The sequence below is a fragment of the Homo sapiens genome, chromosome 12 (genome assembly GCF_000001405.40).
Source record: "Homo sapiens chromosome 12, GRCh38.p14 Primary Assembly".
NCBI classification, from domain to species: Eukaryota; Metazoa; Chordata; class Mammalia; order Primates; family Hominidae; genus Homo; species Homo sapiens.
This window is the reverse complement of record NC_000012.12, coordinates 2,557,572-2,579,579: the sequence shown is the minus strand read 5'-3', so window position 1 is coordinate 2,579,579 and position 22,008 is coordinate 2,557,572. Positions and strand designations below refer to the sequence as shown.

The window sequence follows — 22,008 nt, the reverse complement described above, 5'->3', positions numbered from 1 at the left end:
TAATAATAGAACAACAACAATACCAGTAGGGGTGTGTTAGCATTTCCTAAATCCTGATTCCCAGGTCCCTCCCTTGCACCATGAAACCCTAATCTCTGACTCTGGGGCTGACTCTGGGGCTGGGGTAATCCTCAGGCGACCAGTCCAACACCTGCCAATACACTGGGAGTTGGGAACCAGCAACTTTAAGCATATTTATAACAAGAATTTCCAGCTGTATCCGAGGGAAGAGTGTCCGCATGTGCACTGAAGTCACAAATCCTCTAGAGATCCTCTGTGCGCTCAACTGTCATGGAAGATTCTGGAAAAGCCTTAATGGTCATGGAAGGTTGGAGCCTTCGTTTTCATGAAGTAAAGAGGCATGTGGGAAATAACTGCAACTGGGATTATACCTGAGACCCAGGTATGTCTGACAGCCATGGGGACCAACGGGAGCCTGACAAGCAGGTCATGGCTGCAGAGGGAGAGGGCCAGGTGCCGTCAGCAAGAAAGTCTGGGGGAGGCCCCAGATGAGGAGCAGAGAGGGATGGTGAGGTGGGGGGGCCCTCCTGACCTGGGAGCCCCTCAGAATGCTTGGGGCTCCAGGGAGGAGGAGGCTGTGGCCCAGGAACAGATCCAGTCTCTAAGAGGGGAGAACACTCCTGGGAAGGCAGAGATGGAGCATGGAAACTAGCAGGGATCTCCTAGAGCGAAGGCCAAAGGCAAGGACGTGGGCAGGGACACAGAGCTGTGTCTGGAGGAGCACCCTCTGCCCACTCTCCCTGCCGCCCCTGCCTCCCTCAACCCCTGGGGCGTCTGGGAAAGTCCAAGCTGCACAACACCGGGTTCGTGCTCTGATGGAGCTCCTGCTTCCCACCCATCACCTTCCCCGTCTCAAGGAAATGAGAACCATAGCTTTTGGCTCAAGGCAAAGTCCTCGGAGTCATCTTCCTGGCTCTCTCACACTCTGCATCAGCAAATCCTTCTGCGCCATCTTCAAAATGAGTCCTGACTTTGGCCACTTCCCACCGCCTCCTCATCCTCACTGCCTGGACCCCCGCTCCGGGCAGCTGATGTCCAAGCTGCAGCAGCAGCGGGTGTTGCTATGAGGTGAGGCCCACGAAGCCTCAGTCTTGCTTCAGTCACCTCCCCTTCTCCTCTGGGTCAAAGCCAGAGTCCTCCCAAAGGCCTAGCAGAGGCTGTAGATTCTGGGCCCAGAGCCTCAGGGACCAGCCAGCTGCACTCCCCTTCCTCGGGCCCCCTCACTTTCTCCAACTCCTACACATGCTCCTGCCTGACCAAGGCCATGCTGCTGTCCGTCCGCAGGTTCTTTGGCAGACGTCAGTGGAGCTCACCCCTTCAGCTCCTTCAGGCCTCACATCTCCCCTGGCCACCGCTCTATCCCTCATTACTCTCAAAGAATAATTACTTCTGGCCGGGCGCGGTGGCTCACGCCTGTAATCCCAGCACTTTGGGAGGCCGAGGCGGGCGGATCACGAGGTCAGGAGATCGAGACCATCCTGGCTAACACGGTGAAACCCCGTCTCTACTAAAAATACAAAAAATTAGCCGGGTGTGGTAGCGGGCGCCTGTAGTCCCAGCTACTCGGGAGGCTGAGGCAGGAGAATGGCGTGAACCCGGGAGGCGGAGCTTGCAGTGAGCCGAGATCGCGCCACTGCACTCCAGCCTGGGCGACAGAGCGAGACTCCGTCTCAAAAAAAAAAAAAAAAGAATAATTACTTCTTTGCTTATTGTCTGCTTGCCCTCGCCAGAATGTGAGGCCATGGGAGAAGGAACCCATCTGTTACATTTATATCCTTGGAGCTTAGAACAGTGCCTGGCCCAAAGCAGGTGATGAGCAAACATTTTGTTCAGTGAATGAATGAACCTTACTATTCATATGACACATTGGTACTTCCTGGAGGGAAAGGCAAGGGGCCATGGAGGTGCATGGGTGCTTCTGTGCATGTGTGTTTGTGTGCGTGTGCACTTAAGTTGAACACACTTTGCCAAACAGTGAGAAGTGGCTGCCTGCCCCTGCTCCCATAGCCTTCCTATTCCCATAGCTTCCCTACATCCATGGGGAGGGATTTTCTGAGATTCCTGACTGTTCCATTGCCAGACCATGCATCAAACTAATATGTATCAATATGTCCTACAGAAAACGGTTTCTGTGGCTTGAGCAAACCTTGGGAGTAGGATTTCCAGATCACTGTGAACATGTGTCACCTTTGGGGAAGAACTCACATTCTCAAATTCACTGGTCCCAGTTTTGAGGGCACAGGTCAGCCTCTGTTTAAAAGATGAATTGGCACCAGCCTACTGTCTACATGAAAAACACCTGAGGGGAAAGACACTGTCCTGGGGACCAGTAACACAGTTAAAACATGGCTCAGACAGACAGACAGACAGAGATATGGTTGTTTGTGCTGTTTGTCTTCAGCCTACTGTTGCTTCCCATTCAACAGAGAGAAAGATGGGGTTGGGCCCGAGGCAGGCCTGCCACCTGTCCTTTCCTTTCCTTTGCAGCAGGATAAAGGGGGCAGGCTGCTGCCCAGGGCCTGGCATCACGAGGGGTGCTCAGCTTGCTGAGCAGAAGGCTTCCATTCCTAACGTGCAAATTATCAGGGATGTTTTATATGCTCATCTAGAAGATGAGACAAAGGAATTGCTGAAATGATGATGTGGCAAAGAATGCTGATAGGGTTCAGAGGAGATGGGCTGAATTCTGGAGACTGGCAGGCCTTGGCTGGTAGCAGGTTGAGGGTGGGGGCTCACTATCACTGATATGGATGGGATTTGGAGGTGTCCAGGTGGCAGCCTTTGAGGTGGGTAGGGTGACGTGAAACCACTTAAATAAACAGCTGGCGGTCCTGCAGGTCCTCACACTCCCTCCTCTTAATGTGGTCTGATGGCTCGCACAGCTATGGCCTGAAGATTGGATGATGGCCTCCTATCCTAGAATCACCATCTTTTTTAGGAAGATTCACTGTTGGTAAACTAGAGGGGTTAATGGCACATTCACAATCAGCTGAAGCTTTTTTCCTCATTGGTCAAAAATATGAGATACACACGCTCACACACCAAAAAGGCAAGAGCTTTGGAGAGAAGCGAGCAGCAGCAGAGCAAAGCACTTCATGTCTTTTGGTCACAGGCCTCATGGAAAAGCATAAAAATGAAGCACTCTCTCATCAGAGCAGTGCACACACATGCCCACAAGCTCACATTCAGTACTGTGGGCTCTACAGCACCCGGGTGCCGGTGTCCAGCTCTAGATCACCCCCCAGACACTCTGCCTGCGTCGCCATCATTGGCATCAACTTTCCTTTCCCATTCTCCAGCTGCTGGAATCATTCTCTCCAAACTGTGCGTCCCTGCTCACCCCATCCCCCATCTGACCCACTCGGCTCCCTGTTTTATCCTTAAAAGTACAGCACATCTGAGGGCTTTTCATCACATCAAGTTCTCTGCCACCTAAATTCTCTCCTTCCCTCTACCTTCCTACTCCCAGCCTCCCTTTAAGCTCTCTCACTTGCCGACCACCATGTCACTTCTGTTACCTTTTCCCTCTGCCTCTCCTGATTTAAGTTACCACCATCTGTTCAGAAATCCTTTTATCTCCATTTGTTTCCCCGTCTCTAGGTCTGTCTCTGGGTTTGGGGCTCTGTGGAATTCTTCCTCCTCTTCTATAATATAAAGTGACCCGAGCCTTCCTTGAACTGGAACTTTCATCTCATGAACCTTTTGCTTCAAAGAGCTCAGGGCCAGGTCCTTTACCTTTATTCTAGGTATAGAGCAGAGCATTGAGCTTGCCATAAATAAGAGATCTTCAAAATAACAGTACCCACCACTTTCGGATGCTCTGCAAATGTTCCACCCTATTCTCTCTGTGTTCCAGAGAAGGTCATAACTGAGTTTGATACCTGCCCAAAATGTTCTCATCCTGAAGGCTAAAAAAAAATTCTTAGTTTCGGTGGCAAGTGATCTATTGTTAAAAGAGCAGTTATAAAGCAGTCCCCTGTGGTGAATCTGTGTGGCTGGGGCTTCATGGGAGGCAATGGAGTGAAGAGGAGTGAGAATTGGCTGAGGCCACCTGGGGAAGCAGGTAGAATCCATCCAGCAAGTGAGCACAGGAGGGGGTGTCCTCAGAGCAGAGCTTCCGTCAAATTGAGCCCCAGCCCCTTAAGACACAATAGAGCTGGGAGGGATTAGGATGCCCAGAGGCAGAACCGTATATGCTGGGCTGGGCCAGGAGGAGTCAAGCAGAATTCTAGAGTATTTTGGTCTGGGACAACCTGGGCCCCAAGGCCTCAACTACCGGTTCAGTTTCTACTGGTACCTGCCCCTGCTCCCGTCCATTCTAGCAGGCTGGGAAGACCATTTTGTGGTTTCACTTTTGAGGCAAGGGCTGACTTAGTTAACAAGTTCAAAGGTCTTGTCTTCTCTGTTTGCAGCAGATGTCTCGGTCACATTAAGAACGGAACCTGCATGGGGAGTGTAACCTGGTCAAGCGGGCAAGGTGGTCTGGCCTGGACCTGGGGATGGCCTTAGCAGCATGCTTCTCTGAGCTTCTGGGCCACGGGGCTACTCAGTGTCACCTAGTTGGCCCCTCCAACCACAGTTGTGTCAGGGCTAGGGAGTCATCCTCACCTGCATCTTTTTAATCTTTCTCCTAGTAGGTGACACCAGTCCATTCCCATACCAAAGGAGAACCACCCATTGTGTTGACAGCCACATTGCAGGCTCTGGAGTCTGAGCTACCTTTGCCACAGACCCCTGCCAGGGAACTGGGCATCTGCCAAACAGACTTCCTTAATAATGGCCCTCAATGAGCTCAGAGGCTCCAGGGGGCCTGAGAAGAGTGGGGGCTAGAAGGTGATGGAAGAGCTGGGAAGGTGTGGGGCTGGATCTGCTGCTCAAGGCCAGATGCTGGTAGGGACATGGAGACATTTCGAGCCTGGGAGATGTGCTAACGGCTCTCACCTGGAGCTCTGTGGGGCCCATATGTGGCCAAGATTTATGAGCCAATCTGTCTGTGCTGAATCAGCCCCAGCTCCCATTTCAAGGCCTGGGAAGGGAGCTGCAGGGGAGGAGCAGCAGGAGAAATAAAGAGGGATTGAAGGTGTGAGAGGGGAAACAGCAAGTGCTAGAGGGGCCTCACTGCACTTGAAAACCAAGTGTGTCAAAAATGAGATGCAATCAGTAAACTGGTATCACGTCCGGATTGAATCTGTCTGGAGCCCTTCTCCCACCCCACAGAATATGTCAGACTGGGCTGACAAAGAGTAGAAAAACTGGATATTGAATCTGGGCAGCACCAAGAGCCACAGGTGGAAGAACCCAATCCATCATGAGGCTGGAAGGCCCACCGTACTGGGGCATTTACTCAAAGATGACAAAGATTCCGGCCATGCGTGTGCCCCACTGTTTTCAATGAGCAGGAATCTTGTCTTCCTCAATCTTTTCTATAAAGTAATTTTCTTACAGTCTAGTACAGGCTTCCTGGCCTTTTTTTTGTCTTGAAACAATAGGATGAATGATATTCATACATGTAGCACATTCCCTAAGGTGTTCTCAACAAGAGGATGAATGATCTTCATACATGTAGCATACTCCCTAAGGTGTTCTCAGATTTTGACAAAACACAAAAAATGTCAGTATGTAAATAATTCATTTTCCTCATAATGATATATCAAAGACATCTGCTCCCTTCAGGCATCATGGATGAGTTGTAAGTCCACCCGGATCTCACCCATTCATAGAAGCATTTTGTAATGCAAGTGACAGAGTGATGCTATTATGTTACAAGGACAATATTAATTTGTTTTATTTTTTAAAGAAACTATTCACAAACTTTGGAATTTCAGCTCTCAGTAATAAATTATTTGCTATCACTATCCAGCTGCTCTGGATGTACCACTGTGTCATGACCTCAGGGTGAAGAACCATTGATTTAGATCCCTGTTCCCGACCCTTGGACCATGGGTCCTGGGTGAGGGAAGAGCAGCCTGGAATTCTAGAATTCTAGAAAGGGATCCATGAATCCATGTGTACACCAAGCATTATACTACTCTGAATAAACAGCCTTGTCTTGCATTCATATTACCACTTTTCAAACATACACAGATGTGTAGGAATTTAAATTTAAAAGCTTTGCTGAATTCATAGTAGTTCTTACCTTGATGTGTTTTCTCAGTCAAAAACTATCAAAAGTACCATCTTGACAGAATTAGAGACTACAGTATGGAGAAGACAGTGGAGATGTAAGAATCAAGTTTTTTGGCTGGGCAAGGTGGTCAGCCAAGTGAGAGGATCTCTTAAGTCCAGGAGTTCCAGACCTGCCTGGGCAATATAGTGAGACCCCATCTCTACAAAAAATAAAAATATTAGCCAGACATGGCACTTATAGTCCCAGTTACTTGGGAGGCTGAGACGAGGCTGGAGTATCACTTGAGCCCAGGAGTTTGAGGCTACAGTGAGCTATGATTATGCTACCACACTCCAGCCTAGGTGACAGAGTGAGATCCTGTCTTGAAAAAAGAAGAGGGAAGAGAAGAAGAAGAAGAAAAGGAAGAAGAAGGAGGAGGAGGAGGAGAAGAAGGAGGAGAAGGAAGAGGACAGGAGGAGGAGGAGGAGAGGAGGAAGAGGAAGAGGAGAAGGAGGAGGAGAGGAGGAGGAGGAAGAGGAGGAGGAGAAGGAGGAAGAAGAGGAGGAGAGGAGAAGAAGAAGAGAAGGAGGAGGAGGAGGAAGAGGAGGAGGAAGAGAAGGAGGAGGGGAGGAGGAGGAGAGGAGAAGGAGGAGAGGAGGAGGAGGAGGAGAGGAGAAGGAGGAACAGAAGAAGGAGGAGGAAGAGGAGAAGGAGCAGGAAGAGGAAGAGGAGGAGGAAGAGGAGGAGGAAGAGGAGAAGGAGGAAGAGAAGAAGGAGGAGGAAGAGGAGGAAGAGAGGAGGAGGAAGAGGAGAAGGAGGAGGAGAGGAGGAGGAGGAAGAGGAGAAGGAGGAGGAGAGGAGAAGGAGGAGGAGAGGAGAAGGAGGAGGAGAGGAGAAGGAGGAGGGGAGAAGGAGGAAGAGAAGAAGAAGGAGGAAGAGGAGAAGGAGCAGGAGAGGAGGAGGAGGAGGAAGAGGAGAAGGAGGAAGAGGAGGAGGAGGAAGAGGAGAAGGAGCAGGAAGAGGAAGAGGAGGAGGAACAGGAGGAGGAGGAAGAGAAGAAGGAGGAGGAAGAGGAGGAAGAGGAGAAGGAGGAGGAGAGGAGGAGGAGGAGGAAGAAGAGAAGGAGGAGGAAGAGGAGGAGGAGGAGGAGGAGGAATAATAATCAAGTTTTCCGATTGCATATGAAGGGCAGTATTTTAGGAGAAGAAAGCAGACCAAGAGCAGCAGTAGGAAATTAGGCCAGTGGTTCTTCAAGTGAGGTCGGTCATTGGACCACTAGCATGGAACTCTCCAGGAGTTGCTGGCCAAAATCTCTAGAGATGAGCTCCTTAATGAACTCCTTCATGGGTTCAGCTAAGTTTAAGAATTGCAATTACTGGTTCAGACTACATTGTAAAAAAAAAAAAAAAAAAAAAGAGAAGAAATTTCTTCTACATATGAGTAGCAGCAAGACATTGCAAAGTACTTTCCAAGATATTTTAAAAGAAGAAGGCATGCACTTGTCTGATGGCAGGACCATGCACAGATGACCCATTTCAAGGTTCAGCTGAAGGGACCACAATGTCCACTCCCAACCCATATTTTAGGCATTTTTCTTGGTCACTGTCACCCAGTCCCAAGGCTGGCGCTGGAGACGGACTTATGGGATCCCCCAACCTAATTAGTCTCTTTGTTGCTTTCCGAAAGCCCCCAGAGGCTTTGGAGACTTGAAAATAGGAAGATGACGGCCTTTGCCACAGTCACTTTCAATTAGACAATGATTTTTTCTGTTTATAGACTTCATAGAGATCTGAAAATACTACTACTCCTTCTTGTGGAGGGACTACAGGAAGCTCTCTGATTAAGATAGATTTTTAAAAATGGTTTCTTGGCAATATCTTCAGATTAGAAATAAATTGGTGATTAAAAATAGAATGAATGTTAAATCTTTTCAAGATGTCATAACAATATATAGCAGCAAGATTTCTTTTCTATAGAAATATATACATAAAAGCCCAAAACAGGGACTTTTGAGAATTATTTAAGAGGCATTGAAAACTGCAAGTTAAAAATAGTTTTACCAGACCCCAGGAGGAGCAAGTAGAATCGGCAATTATCTAACAAGAACCAGGGCATAAAGATCTTTTAAGTCCTGTCTCAGGGACCTAGACAAGAAGACAGGTCAGCTCTCAGCTCTGCAGTGCATGGCAGTGGTTAGGAGTATAGCACCTCAAGTCAGACCACAGACCTGCCTTGCCTTTTAATCCCAGTGTTACCTCTGAGCAGTTTTGTGACCTTGGGCAACTGACAACTCTCTAAGCCTCAGTCTCTCATCTGCAAAGTGGGAATAATAATAGTAGTAGCCTATCCTCATCCTCATGTAGGTACTTGGGAGGATCACTCAAGCTAACATTCGTAGGCCTCTGCTCACCCTATCTGGCACAGAGTAAGCACTGGTGCATGGTAATCATTGCTGATATAAGGATTTCTACCACTTTCACTGTAAACCAAGGACTTTCTGTAATGCCAACATATTCAGGACACTTAGGAAGAGCTCTCTTTCGATGGGGTCAGAGAGGGAAAGAAGGCTGTTGCTTAGGAGCATTAAACTTCTGGATTTTAATCGTGGGTGTCTGTTAAGTCCCTCATCTGAGATTCAACCTTCTCCAGGAGCTATCTCCTGCTCCCAATTTCTCACAGCAGGTAATTCCCACGCCCACCACACTTTGCCAGCTCATTATATTCTGTCATAGATTTTCCTTTAATCTCTTCATGTGCACAAACTCCATCTCCCCAACCAGACTATACATTTCTCCTGGATTTAGTTCACGCCATACGCCTTATTTTTCGATTTTTTCCATCTCTCTGAGCTCAATACACAGTATATACGTAGTGGGTAAATAAGTAAGAACAAGAGTATGTGAATATGTAGGTCACTATTAGCTCTCTTCTCTTTCTTCCTTCTAATAATAGCAGTCATAATATTAGATGAATAATAAAAGCTTCTGCATATTGAGTCCTTTCTGTGCACTAAATGAAACACTTTAAATGTCTACCTCCCCGGACCATCCACAACACCATGTGACCATGCTCTGGGTGGTTGCCAAGAGAATTGTGACGAGAAGAGCAACACCTAGGGACACTCAGAAACACGCTCTGAGCAAGATGCCATCAGCTCCAGATCCTGAACTGAAGACACCAACCTCCATCCCTTTTTACCCATCACAATCCAACGGATGGTTTTAGTGCTCCTGTTATCAAAGATTCCCCAAAGCAGAGATTTTGGGAGCCCCCAAAGCAGATTTTTAAGGACAGGGGACTTGTACCTTAGAGGGGCACAGGTTGAAAATTCCTTCCAGGTGTTTCCCATATGTCTTCTAAGGTTGATCATAACGCACATTAAGAAATATGTATTCTACTGCAAGTCAGGTCTGCATCTCAGCTTTTTATGAAACAATGTTTACGTTCATGTGAGACCCTCTGATGTTTTCCTATTCTATTTCATTCTTTCTTTAAAAACGATGCTTGTGAGAATGTGAAGAAATTGGAACCCTTATACATTGCTGGTGGAAATGTAAGATGCTTTAGTCTCTTTGGAAAACAGTTTGACAGTTCCTCAAAATCTTAAACATATTGTTACCAAATAATCTAGAAATTCCACTCCGAGGTACCTATCCAAGAAAAACAAAAGCCTACATCTATAGGAAGACTTGAACATGAATGTTCATAGCAGCATTATTCATAGGAGCCAAAAGATAGTAACAACCAAATGTCCATCACTGATACATGAATACACAAAATGTAGTATATCCCTACAATGGAATATTATTCACCATAAAAGGAAACAAAGTACTGATCTATGCTACAACATGGATGGCCCTTGAAAACATTATTCTAAGTCAAAGAGGCCATCACAAAAACACATATTATAAGATTTCACTCACATGAATGGTCCAAAATAGGCAACTCTATAGAGACATAAAGTGAATTTGGTTGCTGGGAGGGAAGATGGGGGAAATGTGGAATGGGTATGGAGTTTCTTTCTGGGGTGATGAAAATGTTCTACAACTAGAACATGGTGATGGTTGCATAACCATGAATATAAAAAAACAATTAAGTTACACATTGTAAGGGGTAAATATATGGGATATGAATTATATTTCAGTATGTTTTAAAATGATGGTTGTGATCCAATAAATGGATTCCACCACTCCCAGTGGTCATAAGTCAGGTGAAAATCATTGTCCTAGAGCATGGTGCCCCTCAGCCCTGTCCTTGTCTTGAGAGTCACTGCTTGGCCTAGACAGTGAGGGAGATGGCCTGCTTTGGGTAGGTGCCGGACTGACATATGGAGGGGTGGCCATGTGGACAGAGGGTGAACACCATCTGCAGTGCAGTGTCCACAGCCCTTTACAGTGGCTAGATCTTGAACGCATTTTCAGCAGAACTTGTCCTGCTAGAATACTGCATTTCTCAGCCTCCCTAACAGCTCAGGTGCTCAAGAACAGAAGCCCTTGCTGAGACTTCTGGAAGATTTCTTCCAATTTGTTTCACTGTGTTAAAATACACATAACATAAAATTTACCATCTTAACCTTTTTTTTTAAACTGTAGAATTCAGTGGTGCTAAATACATTCACGCTGTTGTGAAACCACCACCATCCTCCATCTCCAGAACCCATTAAACACTAACTCCCCACTGCCCCCTCCCTCCAGCCCTGGGCGCCCACCATTCTGCTTTCTGTCTCTGTGAATCTGACTACTCTAAGAGCCACATATAAATGGAATCATACAGTATTTGTCTTTCTGTGACTGGCTTATTTCACTTAGCATAATGTCCTTAAGTTTCATCTACTTTGTAGCATGTGTCAGGATTTCCTTCCTTTTTAAGACTGAATAATATTGAACTGTATGTGTAGACCACATTTTAAAAATACATTCATCTGTCTAAGGCACTTGGGTGTGCAAATATCTCTTTGAGATCCTACTTTCAATTATTTTGGGCATATACCCAGAAGTGGAATTGATGGATGAGAGGGTAATCCTATCATTAACGTTTTTAGGAACTGCCATACCATTTCCCACGGTGGCTGCACCATTTTACACTCCCACCCATAGTGCACAAGGGTTCCAATTTCTCCATGTCATTGCCAACCCTTATGATTTTCAGTTTTTTTTGACAGCAGCAGTCCTAATGGGTGTGTCTGGGAGTGACTTCTGGGAGTGGAGAAGCTGACTTGGCCGGGGTGGTCGGCCCTTTTGCTCCTTTCTCTTCTTCCCACCTCCAATTTGAATGTGATGGCTCAGTCTCCAGAAGTCATCTTATGACCCTGGAGAAGAATCAGCACCAAGGCTGGTGAAGCACAGGAGAAGAGATTGAGTCCCTGACCCTCTTCTTGAAGGCACCTCAGCTAGCTGCCTCTGGACTTTTTTTCCATGGCTGAATAAGTCCCTAGCTTGCTTACATTACTGAGTTGAGTCTCTGGTATTAGCAGCCAGAGGAATTTCCAAATGATGTGCCATCTAAATGAACACAAACTACCCCCATTGCATGTGAACTTCAGAGACACCCTTTGAGGAAGAACAGCCCCCCTCCCACCCAGGCCTTGCCACCTCCCTTGCCCTCTGGAAGAACTTCTTCCTGAGTCCCCTCTTCAAAGTGAGAGGGGGAGCCCAGTACCTCGTGATCTTGAAAATCCTCAGCAGCCGGACGCATCTGAGCACGGAGATGCCCAGTGGGGACATGATCTTGGTCTCCACCAGGATGGTCTCCAGGATGCCGCCACACACGACGAAGCAGTCAAAGCGGTTGAAGAGGGACACGAAGTAGGCCTGCAGGCCCAGGCTGTACATCTTCAGGAGCATCTCTGCCGTGAACAGGGCCAGCAGGGCCTTGTTTGCCGTGTCTGGCAGGCCCAGGAGAGGGATGAGATCCGAGCAGGGCCAGAGGAGGCAGAGAGGGAGGCAGGGAAAGGAAATACAGTAATTATCTCCATTGGAAAAAAGATCCCCCATGACACCTCTCCCATCCACCTCGGCCAGAACAGAAGTTGGGGCCAAGCCAATGGGAAAGGGCTCTCTCGTCACAATCATAACAGACATTTACTGAGCATCTCCCATGCACCATAGGCTCAGCACACACAATCTCTCCTCCTCATAGCAGGCCTGTGGGGATGGTACCACCATCGTCATGCCCATTTTCAGAGATGAGAAAGGAGGTTCAAAGAGGTGAGTAGCCTGTGCAGGCCAAACAGCCAACAGTTGGAGCCGCACTGTCTGAGTCTGACTTCTCCGCCACTAGACCCCCTGCCTCCCAGGACTCTGGAAAGCAGCTGTGGAGGATGGGGCCAGGTCTTCTTGACTGCCCAGCAATGATGCTGAGGCCTGGCTAGTGGGACCCTCGTCTAGGGGCCCAAGGAAGGATAATGAGAATGAACGACCCATTGAAGACGGTTCCTTGTGCTCAGGCCCTATTCTCTTCTCTGCCTTTTTGCTCATTCCATCCTCATGTGTTCTGGTTAAGGCCACCTCAGGGCTGTAGGAAGGCCCCCAGGTATTTAAAATCCATGCTGGGGAGTTGGCAGCCAGGAGTCTGAGATAGGCAAACAAGCTGCAGCCCCTTTCCTCATCACCTGGGTCCAACAGTGACTTTGGGGCAGGCTGATGGTGTGGGCCCAGTCAGGAGAGCCGTGTCTGTTTTTAACAAGGTAGCGCATTTTATTGTGGGGCTTTGGAACTGCCAGGCCCTTGGTGTCTCCAGCACAGCACCTGCCAAGAGCCCCGACCATTGGCTGCTTTCCCCTCCACCTTCTGCCTGTGGTTATGCCCTCCCCTGGGCCTTGGGGCTGAGTTACCAGGAGGAAACCAGAGCAGAGCTGGGGCCGCCGCTCACCTTGGACTTCTGTGAGCCAGTTGGGCTGGTTGTAGTGCTCAGAGGCAATGGTGAGCGTGTTGAGGAACACCAGGAAAATCACCAGCCAGTAGAAGACATTAGACTTGACTGCGGCGCGGCACTTCCTTCTGCAGAACCGATTCCACCGGCGCCAGTAGCGGCTGGAAAGGGGACAGGGAGAGAAGGGTGGGGTTGGCTGTGAATTCAGGTTTCCTCCAACCCAAGATGCAGCACCATGGCTCTTCTCGCCCCTCACTGATCTGGCCTTGCTAGAGCAGCCCAATCTGGTGGCAAGGAGCCCAGCTTCTCATCCAGCTAACCAGGCCCTGCCGCCTTGGGGATGCCCCTGAACTCCTCCAAGCTTCAGTTCTCCCGGGAAGAGGGCCGACCTCATGGGGTTATTGTGGGGATGGATCAAATACCTTATAATGCATCTGGCTGCTTTGAAGTTGAAGATGCTCAATAAATGGAAGTTTTTTTAATTTTTGTGAAACAGCATTCTTAGAAATAGTGTTGTAAGCAATAAGAGCATTATTAGTAACAGTGGAGGAGGGGCCCAGTACCACATCAGGCACTTCTCATGCCTTCTCTCCAATTCTTTCAGTAACTCTGCAAAGCACGCATTATCCTGATTTTTGTGGAGGAGAAAACTCAGGGCTGGGGAGGTTGAGTACTCGACCAATATCACAGCAGGCAGAGCCATCCGTAGTTTTCTGCCCAGCCTCTTGGCCCTGACTGTGTGTGCCACATCCATATGGTAGAAGGGGTTCATCTGGAGCACAGGCTCTTTGTTTTTCTGGGTTATAGAATCTTTCCAGAATCTGATGAATGTTTAGATCTGCCTTTCAGAAAAATGGGCACATGCCCACACACACACCTTTACTTGAGAGCCCACACAGCACACAGACCCCTCAAAGCTCATCCATGCTCCATGGACTCTTCCCCGTATCTTGGTTTAGGAGCCTTTGTCAGTGATTCTCAAACCTGGCTACACACAGAATTACCTAGGGAACCCTCCCCAAAACCCCACTGGTCCGCAAGCCCCAACACCAAACCAATTAAGTCTGATTCTCTAGGGGTTGGGTATTTTTTTTTTTTTTTTTTTTTCTGAGACGGAGTCTCGCTCTGTCGCCCAGGCCGGACTGCGGACTGCAGTGGCGCAATCTCGGCTCACTGCAAGCTCCGCTTCCCGGGTTCACGCCATTCTCCTGCCTCAGCCTCCCGAGTAGCTGGGACTACAGGCGCCCGCCACCGCGCCCGGCTAATTTTTTGTATTTTTAGTAGAGACGGGTTTCACCTTGTTAGCCAGGATGGTCTCGATCTCCTGACCTCATGATCCACCCGCCTCGGCCTCCCAAAGTGCTGGGATTACAGGCGTGAGCCACCGCGCCCGGCCGGGGTTGGGTATTTTTAAGGCTCCCCAGGTGGTTCTAATGTGTAATGATGGTTGAGAACCAGTGGCTAAGATGATCCTAAAGAAACACATTTTAAGATTCTATGGTGGAGGCGTTTTCATTTTCCTGATACAGAGAAAATATACAGCTCTGTTTGGTTGAATTCAGTAGACGACATGGTTAATAAATGGCTGCACTGTGCAAGGAGAGAAGAACCATAGCTGGAGAGGTGCTGAGGAGGAGACTGCAGGGGCCATGCTGAGGGCTTGGGGAGGGGGAAAGGACATGATCAGGTTGGATTGGAACACCCCACAAAAACAGCCCCTCTGTCACCTTCTAGACCAGGGAGAGTATGAGGAATTCTCTTCCTGTTCTCCAGGTTAGAGATGATGAAGGCAATAGCTATATTAATGGAAAAGATGACACAGAGCTGGCAGCAATTTTAGAGGCAGAATCAATAGTCCCTTGAGATGAGCGGATGTGCAGAATAAGAAAGACAGGTATGGAAGGGACTGCCAACATTTTTAGCTGGGGCGATTTGGGAGGGCAGCACAGAGGAGGGCCAGAGGAGCGGGAGTAGAGCTCCAGGCAGAGGGGTCAGTTATGAGAAAAATGGGGTGCTTAGCTCTGCACATGGCTTTGGGGCACCTGTAGGGCTTGTACGCAGACCCACGAGGCATTGAAGATACAGCTCCTGCCTGGGTAATGAAGGCAGGAGGAGAAACAAAGTAGAATCCTGGTGATAAAGTCCATGAATATCTGTATTTTTCCATAAAATGATCTCCTTTCTATGAATCTCTCTCGTCTAGACAGACATTCCTCTAAATAAGCATGCAGAATCTGCCTCTGGGCAGAGGTTTCAAACCTCACACTGCAGCCCATTAGTGGGTCATGAAATCTATTGAGTAGGTCATGCCTGGCACTGAATAAAGGAATAGAGTGGAAAATATCACAGTGCGTATCATATCGTAAGGAAACTGCTTTTTAAAGTAAGCAGTAAGCAAAAATATTTTTACATAAAACTTTGTTTCCGGTGTGTGTGTGTCTGTGTGTGGCATACTAAGTCTGGATGTGAAAACCGGCCCTCCACTTCAGCGCAAGGAAGCTGAAATGAGGTCCTCCATTCTAAATCACAGTCCATGGCATGAGTCCGTTTCTCCAATCTTCCTGCCAGAGATGACCATCAAGCCTCAGCGTCACCTCCTGGGTCAAGTTATGCTGGTGGTGGAACAGCAAGCCCCATCTGTGTGAACTCACTGGTCTGTGAATGGCCTATTCCTTCCTAGCCCCCGGGCATGTAGCAGCACCACATGTGGGTGTGCCCCAGGGGGCAGGGACAGCTCCGTGCTGTGTGCACTGCCCTCAGCCTTGGTCCTCTACTTCCAGGGCAGAAGCCCCTCCAAACATCAGCAAACTCCAAGATGCCAACCTGGGCTGTTACGGATCCCTGCACATACCCCCAAAATTGCCTCTTGGAGTAGCCTGACTTCATCCACCTTTCTACTCTGTCATTTTTCTATCTATGATCTGCAGAAAATCCTGTTACCAAGACTTTGCTAAATCTAAGATGAGGTTAGGAGAGTGAAGAGTAATCAAAGAAGGGTACTCTTTCTTCAGGACTGCAGGGAGAACTTAGTTTTTGGCTTGAGGAGCAGGGAGGGGAAAAAGGATTAATCCAGGCAGTGTTCTGCTCTAGCTTGAAGGCCATCTCCAGTGAGGGCCACACCTTAACATGCGACACTGGCCTACCACTTGGGGGAAAATCCACTACACAGGGAAGCAGGCCACCAGGTGGAAAACATGGTTTCCAATCTGTATACTGAAGAGATATCTGCACTCCTATGTTCTCCTATGTTCACTGCGGCACTATTTACAATAGCCAAGATACAGAATCAACCTAAGCGCCCATCAGCAAATGAATGAAGAAAATGTGGTACATGTACACAATGGAATATTGTTCAGCTATAAAAAAGAATGAAATTCTGTCATTTGCAACAACATGGATGGAACTGGAGGCCATTATATTAAGTGAAATAAGCCAGGCACAGAAAGACAAATTGTACATATTCTCACTCATATGTGGGAGCTAAAAATTAAAGCAATTGAACTCATGGATACAGAGAGTAGAATGATGGTTACCAGAAGCTGGAAAGGGTAGTGGAGATGGTAAATAGGTGAAAAAATATAGTTAAATAGAATAAATATGATGTAATATTTGATCATACAACATAGGAGAGAAGGATGGTGACTACAGTCATGATAATTTATTGCATATTTTAAAATAAACTAAAAGACTGGAATTGGAATGTTCGTAATACAAAGAAATGATAAGTGCTTGATGTGAGGAACACCCTGATAACCCTGGTTTGATTTTTGCACATTGTACACCTGGATCAAAACATCACATGCACCTCATAAATATATACACCCATTAGTGCCCATAAACATTAACAATTTAAAACGTTATGATTTCTAAATGCACTTTGGGATTCTTGCACCCCCAGACATACTGCCCTGGATCCGAGGGAGGATGGTGGAGGGTGGACAGAGGGACAAAGAAATGAGACAATGAGTCCCAGATGGTCCTCTTGAGAGGCGACCTCTGAAGTTTGCCAGATCTTGATACTAAACAGTCTTATCTTGCAGGGCATGCCTCTGCTTTTTTCCTGTGATTGTGATTATTAATACTGTACAGAAATTTGGCAAGTAGTTTATTCCCCTAAAAAATGAATTTTCAGGACAAACTCATATCTGATCTTAAAGAGCTGACAGTGAAGTTTGCAAAGAACATGTTTTAAATAGATACAGTCTCAAGTTCCAGAAATCACTGATAATTGTTATTCAGAGTCCAAGGCAATCAAGGTTGCTTTCTTTGCGGTATGTAGAGCTGTCTTGGAGTGGGTTTAATATGAGAGCTTGATTATGCCCCTTTTTCCTCATGCTTGGGAGTAGTGGATATGGGTGCTGTGTGGTCAGGCTGGTCCCATGGGTCTGGAGCTGCTCTGCACAGACCCCTGAGGAGTGGCCGGAGTGGACAGGACGGTGTCCCTTTCAACTGGGGTGCTCCTGAGCAGACCCATTTGGGAGAGTCACATGGATTTGGGCTGGGGTGGGGGTGGGGTAATTACTATCCAGAGAAAGTATTTAAAGATAATTATGCACCTCCCACTCTTCAAAATATAGCTTTGCTTGACAACTGGTTTCCTGGCAACACTTCCTACTGTATAATAAATGTAATGGTTTATTAGAATGTGTAAATTTATTTATGTTTACATATGCATGGAGGATACAGAAATTAAATGATAAAATAGGGAGGAGAAATTTGCCTGCTATTCATATTCCCTTCACACTAACTGGAAGTCATTTTCTCTAGAAATAGAACCTTCCATATGTAGACACAGGAGAGAGGGATGGATACGAATGGGTCTCATCTATGTCTCTAAACTTCGGGATCACTGCTTCTAAACTTCTGCTCTCGCAGCCCCAGCTCCACCTGCCCTTCTCCCTACACTGGGCCTTCCTCTTGCCTGTCCAGCTGCAAGGCAAGTCCTCCCAGCTACCGGAAACTCCACCGTTGCTTCATCCTGTCTGTCCTGCCCCTCCTGTGGGGCTCACACTGAGTCCCAGCTTCTCCACGATGCATGCTTCTAGTCTTCTCAGCCTTGGCACTCTTCAGCGCTTACTGTCTGCATTACTCATTTTAGTTACACATCCAAGAAATAGTTACTAAACACTGACCACGGGCTAGGCACCAGATACTCAGTAGCTAGCACAGCGCTCACAGGCCTCCTCTGCGTAAAAGCTACACGGAGACACAGACCACTAAGTGAGCAGTCACAGCAGGGCCTGAGTGCTGGGCGGGTCCACCAGGGAGCACACGAAAGGACACCTTAGGCGAGAAGGGTCCCCAGAGGAAATGAGTTCCCATTTCCTTGTACTGTCAGTTACGTTTCATTTGTATGGTTCCTGCCTCTCCGCGGAGCTCACAAGACCCACGAAGGAATCGGGTTGTGTCTTACACTTGGTTACAGACCCATGGGACTCAGCACAGTCCATCCTGCACGGGAACCCCTGGCTGATGGCACGGTTGAGCAGCAGAGACGAACTCTACGCAAATGTACTACCTCCCTCTGGAAGACAAGGCTTGAAGATTCCCGGAGCTCTTGTGAACCAGGGCTGAGGGTGGAGGTGAGGAGCGGACAGTGCTCCTAAAATAGTTTGCTTGACATGCAATGGTGCACAGGCATCTGGAATCGTCGACAACATCAAAATGATGGGCCCTGCAGGCTCCTTCTAGTGGCTAGAGTAAGTTTCCACTTTTTTTTTTTTTTTTTTTTTTTACCAGAACCAACAACAAACACCACAGAAAATCATTAAGTTTAATTCTCTTGTAAATAAGTAACTTTACAAAGGACTATTAGAGATTGGGGCAAATTTGGATTTGTGCCTTGTTGCTGATGGTATGGCAGAAGTGAAGAGAACATTGGAAGCACATTTCACTGAAGACTGGGCAAGCTAGTCCTCCCAATTTCAGAACCCCGTGAGGTTCACTTCAGAACTCCGTAAAGTTGAGATCCAGAAACTCCAACTTGTGTAATCAATCCCTTCAGGTTACAAAAGACTTCCTGAATCATTTGTTTCATAACTGTTTACATTTATTCTGAACAGTGAGCTCCAAATGTCACAAATCTCTTATTTTAACTAATTCCTCTAAGTGAAAACCTGGATTACCAAGGGAATCCTCCACTATGGCTGTAATCCACTAACCGGCCACATTTTCCCTAGAGACTCCATTCTTACAGTTCTTTAAAGAAACCGTGACTTTGGATCATTCTGTTTTGCAAAGGAAAAGGCCAGTTTGAGACTCAAATTCCATTATCTGTAATTGTTAAACTGTTTCACCTAACTTGAGAAAATGATCAGGAATACTTTGAAAACGTTGGTGGCATTTTCAATCTATTTGTAACCTTTGATATTCCCTAAGCAGACACCATCAGTGAACTGCTGAATCTAGATTAGACGGCTGCTGTGTGATACCTGCTCATGTGTGAAACCTCCAGGGCCACGTGGCCTTGCGTGGCAGCCGCTAGCAACATGCAGCTACCGTGCATGGGAAACATGGTCAGTCCAGACTGAGATGGGCAGTAAGGGAAAAACACACACTGAATTTCAAAGACTTGGCACAAAAGGATGAATGCAAAATATGTCATTAATAATTTTTATGTGAATTACATATTGAAATAGTAATGTTTTAGAGATACTGGTTTAAATCAAAGAAATTTCCTGTTTCTTTTTATTTTTTAACCTGCCTACTAGAACATTTTTAAAAGTACATATGTGGCTTGCACTATATTTCTGTTGAATAGCATGGCTCTAGAGTTACACACTCTGCGGACACACTAGCTATACAGGAACAGGGTTTACTATTCCCGGGCAGAACCTCATCACAAGGATGGCACAGTGATTGGCAGCAGAGCCCCTGGGTATGAGCTCTGACTCAGCCATACTAGAGCCCTGTGACCTGGGCCTCTCAAAGCCTCAGGATCCTCATCTGGAAATGAGTTTCAATGATAGTGCCAATCTACTAGCTGTAAGCCTTTAGGAGAACAAAATCTGCCGTCCGCATTACTGCGGTGTATTGAGGGGTGGCTGCAGAAGGAGAAGGCCTTCCCAGAGGCAGATGATCAGGGCTGAATGGCCAGCACATAGCAAAGCCTCAGGGCCGAGGGAGACTCCAGAGGTTTACAGGCACCACTGCTCTTTCCCTCTTGTTGAAAAGCACAGTTTGCACCATAGATCACTGGATGAAAATAATGTTCCCAGAGTGTTCCAGGCAATCTCTAACTCGAGACACAAGTATGTAATTTTCCCTTCCATCCTCCAGATCATATTCATTCATTCATTCATTCATTTATTAATTTATGATTTACTCACTTGCATGAACTGAGAATGATATTTTGGAAATATTTTCAAGTGTATTTTTAATCCCTTTACTCTTATTGTGTGGGGGCTTTGGAACTGTTAAAGCACAACATGCTTTTTCAGCTTTGACTGTCAAATTAGATATTTTGTTTGAATCTGTGTCAAGTCTATTGTCTTACTGGGGCAAGATCATTCATTTATTAATTACTCACTCACCCAGCAAATATTTATTAGGTTCTTGTTATGTACCAGCCACTTCTCCAGATGCTGGAGATTAAGCAGTAACAGCCAAGCATTACTGAGAGAGAGAAATTTTTTTTTTTTAATATTTCTGGAGCTCTTGCTCTGTAATAAGAGCTAGAGTGGATGGGCCTGACCCTAGATGTTTTATGTAGATGAGGTCTTGGTTTGAGAGAAACAAGGATTGGGAAAAAAGCCTGTATTTTCCAGTCCTAGTGAAACGGGAGAGAAAGAAGGTATCAGAAGTGGAGCAAAAGTCAGACACCAGGGTCCCCACTTAATTTTTAGCCCTTGGTCACCACAGCCCAAGAGGTTGGTGGGGAGTTGCTTTAGAAACACCCAGATGGCCACGGGGAAGCCCAGCAACACTGGGGCTGGTGGAGTGCCTCGGCAGACCCTGGGAGAAGGTCAGCCCTTGGCTTGAAGCTTATCCTGGCTGTTACAGAGGTTGTGATGGGACACCGGTAGGCCAATGAGCCTGTCATAGGGCTGCTGTCTCCTCTAGCTCCTTCACGGAGTGTGAGGGACCTGGAAGTGTCCATGTCCTCAGCTGAGGTATAGAGGTGCTAAAGTCAGTGGGCCAACAGAACTCAAGGGTCAGAGAGCAGAGGTGGAGATTTCAAGGCCGGAGGCAAGTAGAGGGCATGGACTCCAGCAGTGGATGCCCTAAGGGCATGGACTCCAGCAGTGGATGCCCTAACCAGATGGACCTCAGCAGGTACCAGTTCAGACAGCAGTTCAGCCTAGCCCCATGCAGCAGAGATGAGCAAGCATCCAGAGGGCTCGCGTGGCTTCTAGGACCAGCCCTCATCATTCCCTGCTTCCTGGGATCTCAAAGTCCCTCTCCGCCATGTGTCCAGCTCCGTCCAAGAGAGGAGCTGGGAGAGAGGCAATCTGAGAGACAAATCACTTTACCTTAAGGGACTGTTTAAAATACAGCACTGGGCTACATTTACTCAGCTGGATAAAAATTTCTCTATGCTCCTGCCATGTAGGAGATAGGGCTAGGGAAACAAGATTAGCTCAATTATGAAAAATAACCAATATTTTTTGGCACATACAAGCTTTGTGGGAGTGAATTCACATTCTCCCTGCACACATCTGTCCACTCATTCATTCAACACACATGTATGGACGTTCACCACTGGACAGGCACTGAGCTGGGTGCTCTGGAAATAACCCCTGGAGGCATGCAGGCAGAGCCTTTGGAAGCAGGGGACTGTGAGCCAGTAATCCGAGTGTCATGTGCTGAGTGCTGTGACAGAGGCATCAGCAAAGCACCAGGGAAGGGGGAGCTGAGTAACTCTCCCTGGAGTTTGCAGAAGGTATTTTCCAGGCCCAGTGAAATGGCAGAGAAAGCAGTAACACGGAAGCAGTCACATCTGAGGGTCTGAACAGAAGTGTGAGTTCTCCAGATGAAGGCATGGGGGCATAGTGATTTAAGTGAAGGATTGG

The 22,008-nt window shown here is 47.3% G+C and overlaps 1 protein-coding gene across 56 annotated transcripts in view; it reads right to left on the bottom strand.

Annotated features, from left to right (window-relative positions):
* CACNA1C (calcium voltage-gated channel subunit alpha1 C) overlaps positions 1-22,008 on the bottom strand; it is a 727,171-nt gene that overhangs the window by 118,371 nt on the left and 586,792 nt on the right. For all 56 annotated transcript variants that reach the window (XM_017019926.3, XM_017019934.3, XM_017019946.3 and 53 more), the window contains 2 exons: positions 12,998-13,158; positions 11,786-12,011 (listed from right to left, as the gene is read on the bottom strand). In XM_017019926.3, coding sequence (XP_016875415.1) covers positions 11,786-12,011; positions 12,998-13,158 — 387 coding nt within the window. The remainder of the gene's footprint in view (positions 1-11,785; positions 12,012-12,997; positions 13,159-22,008) is intronic.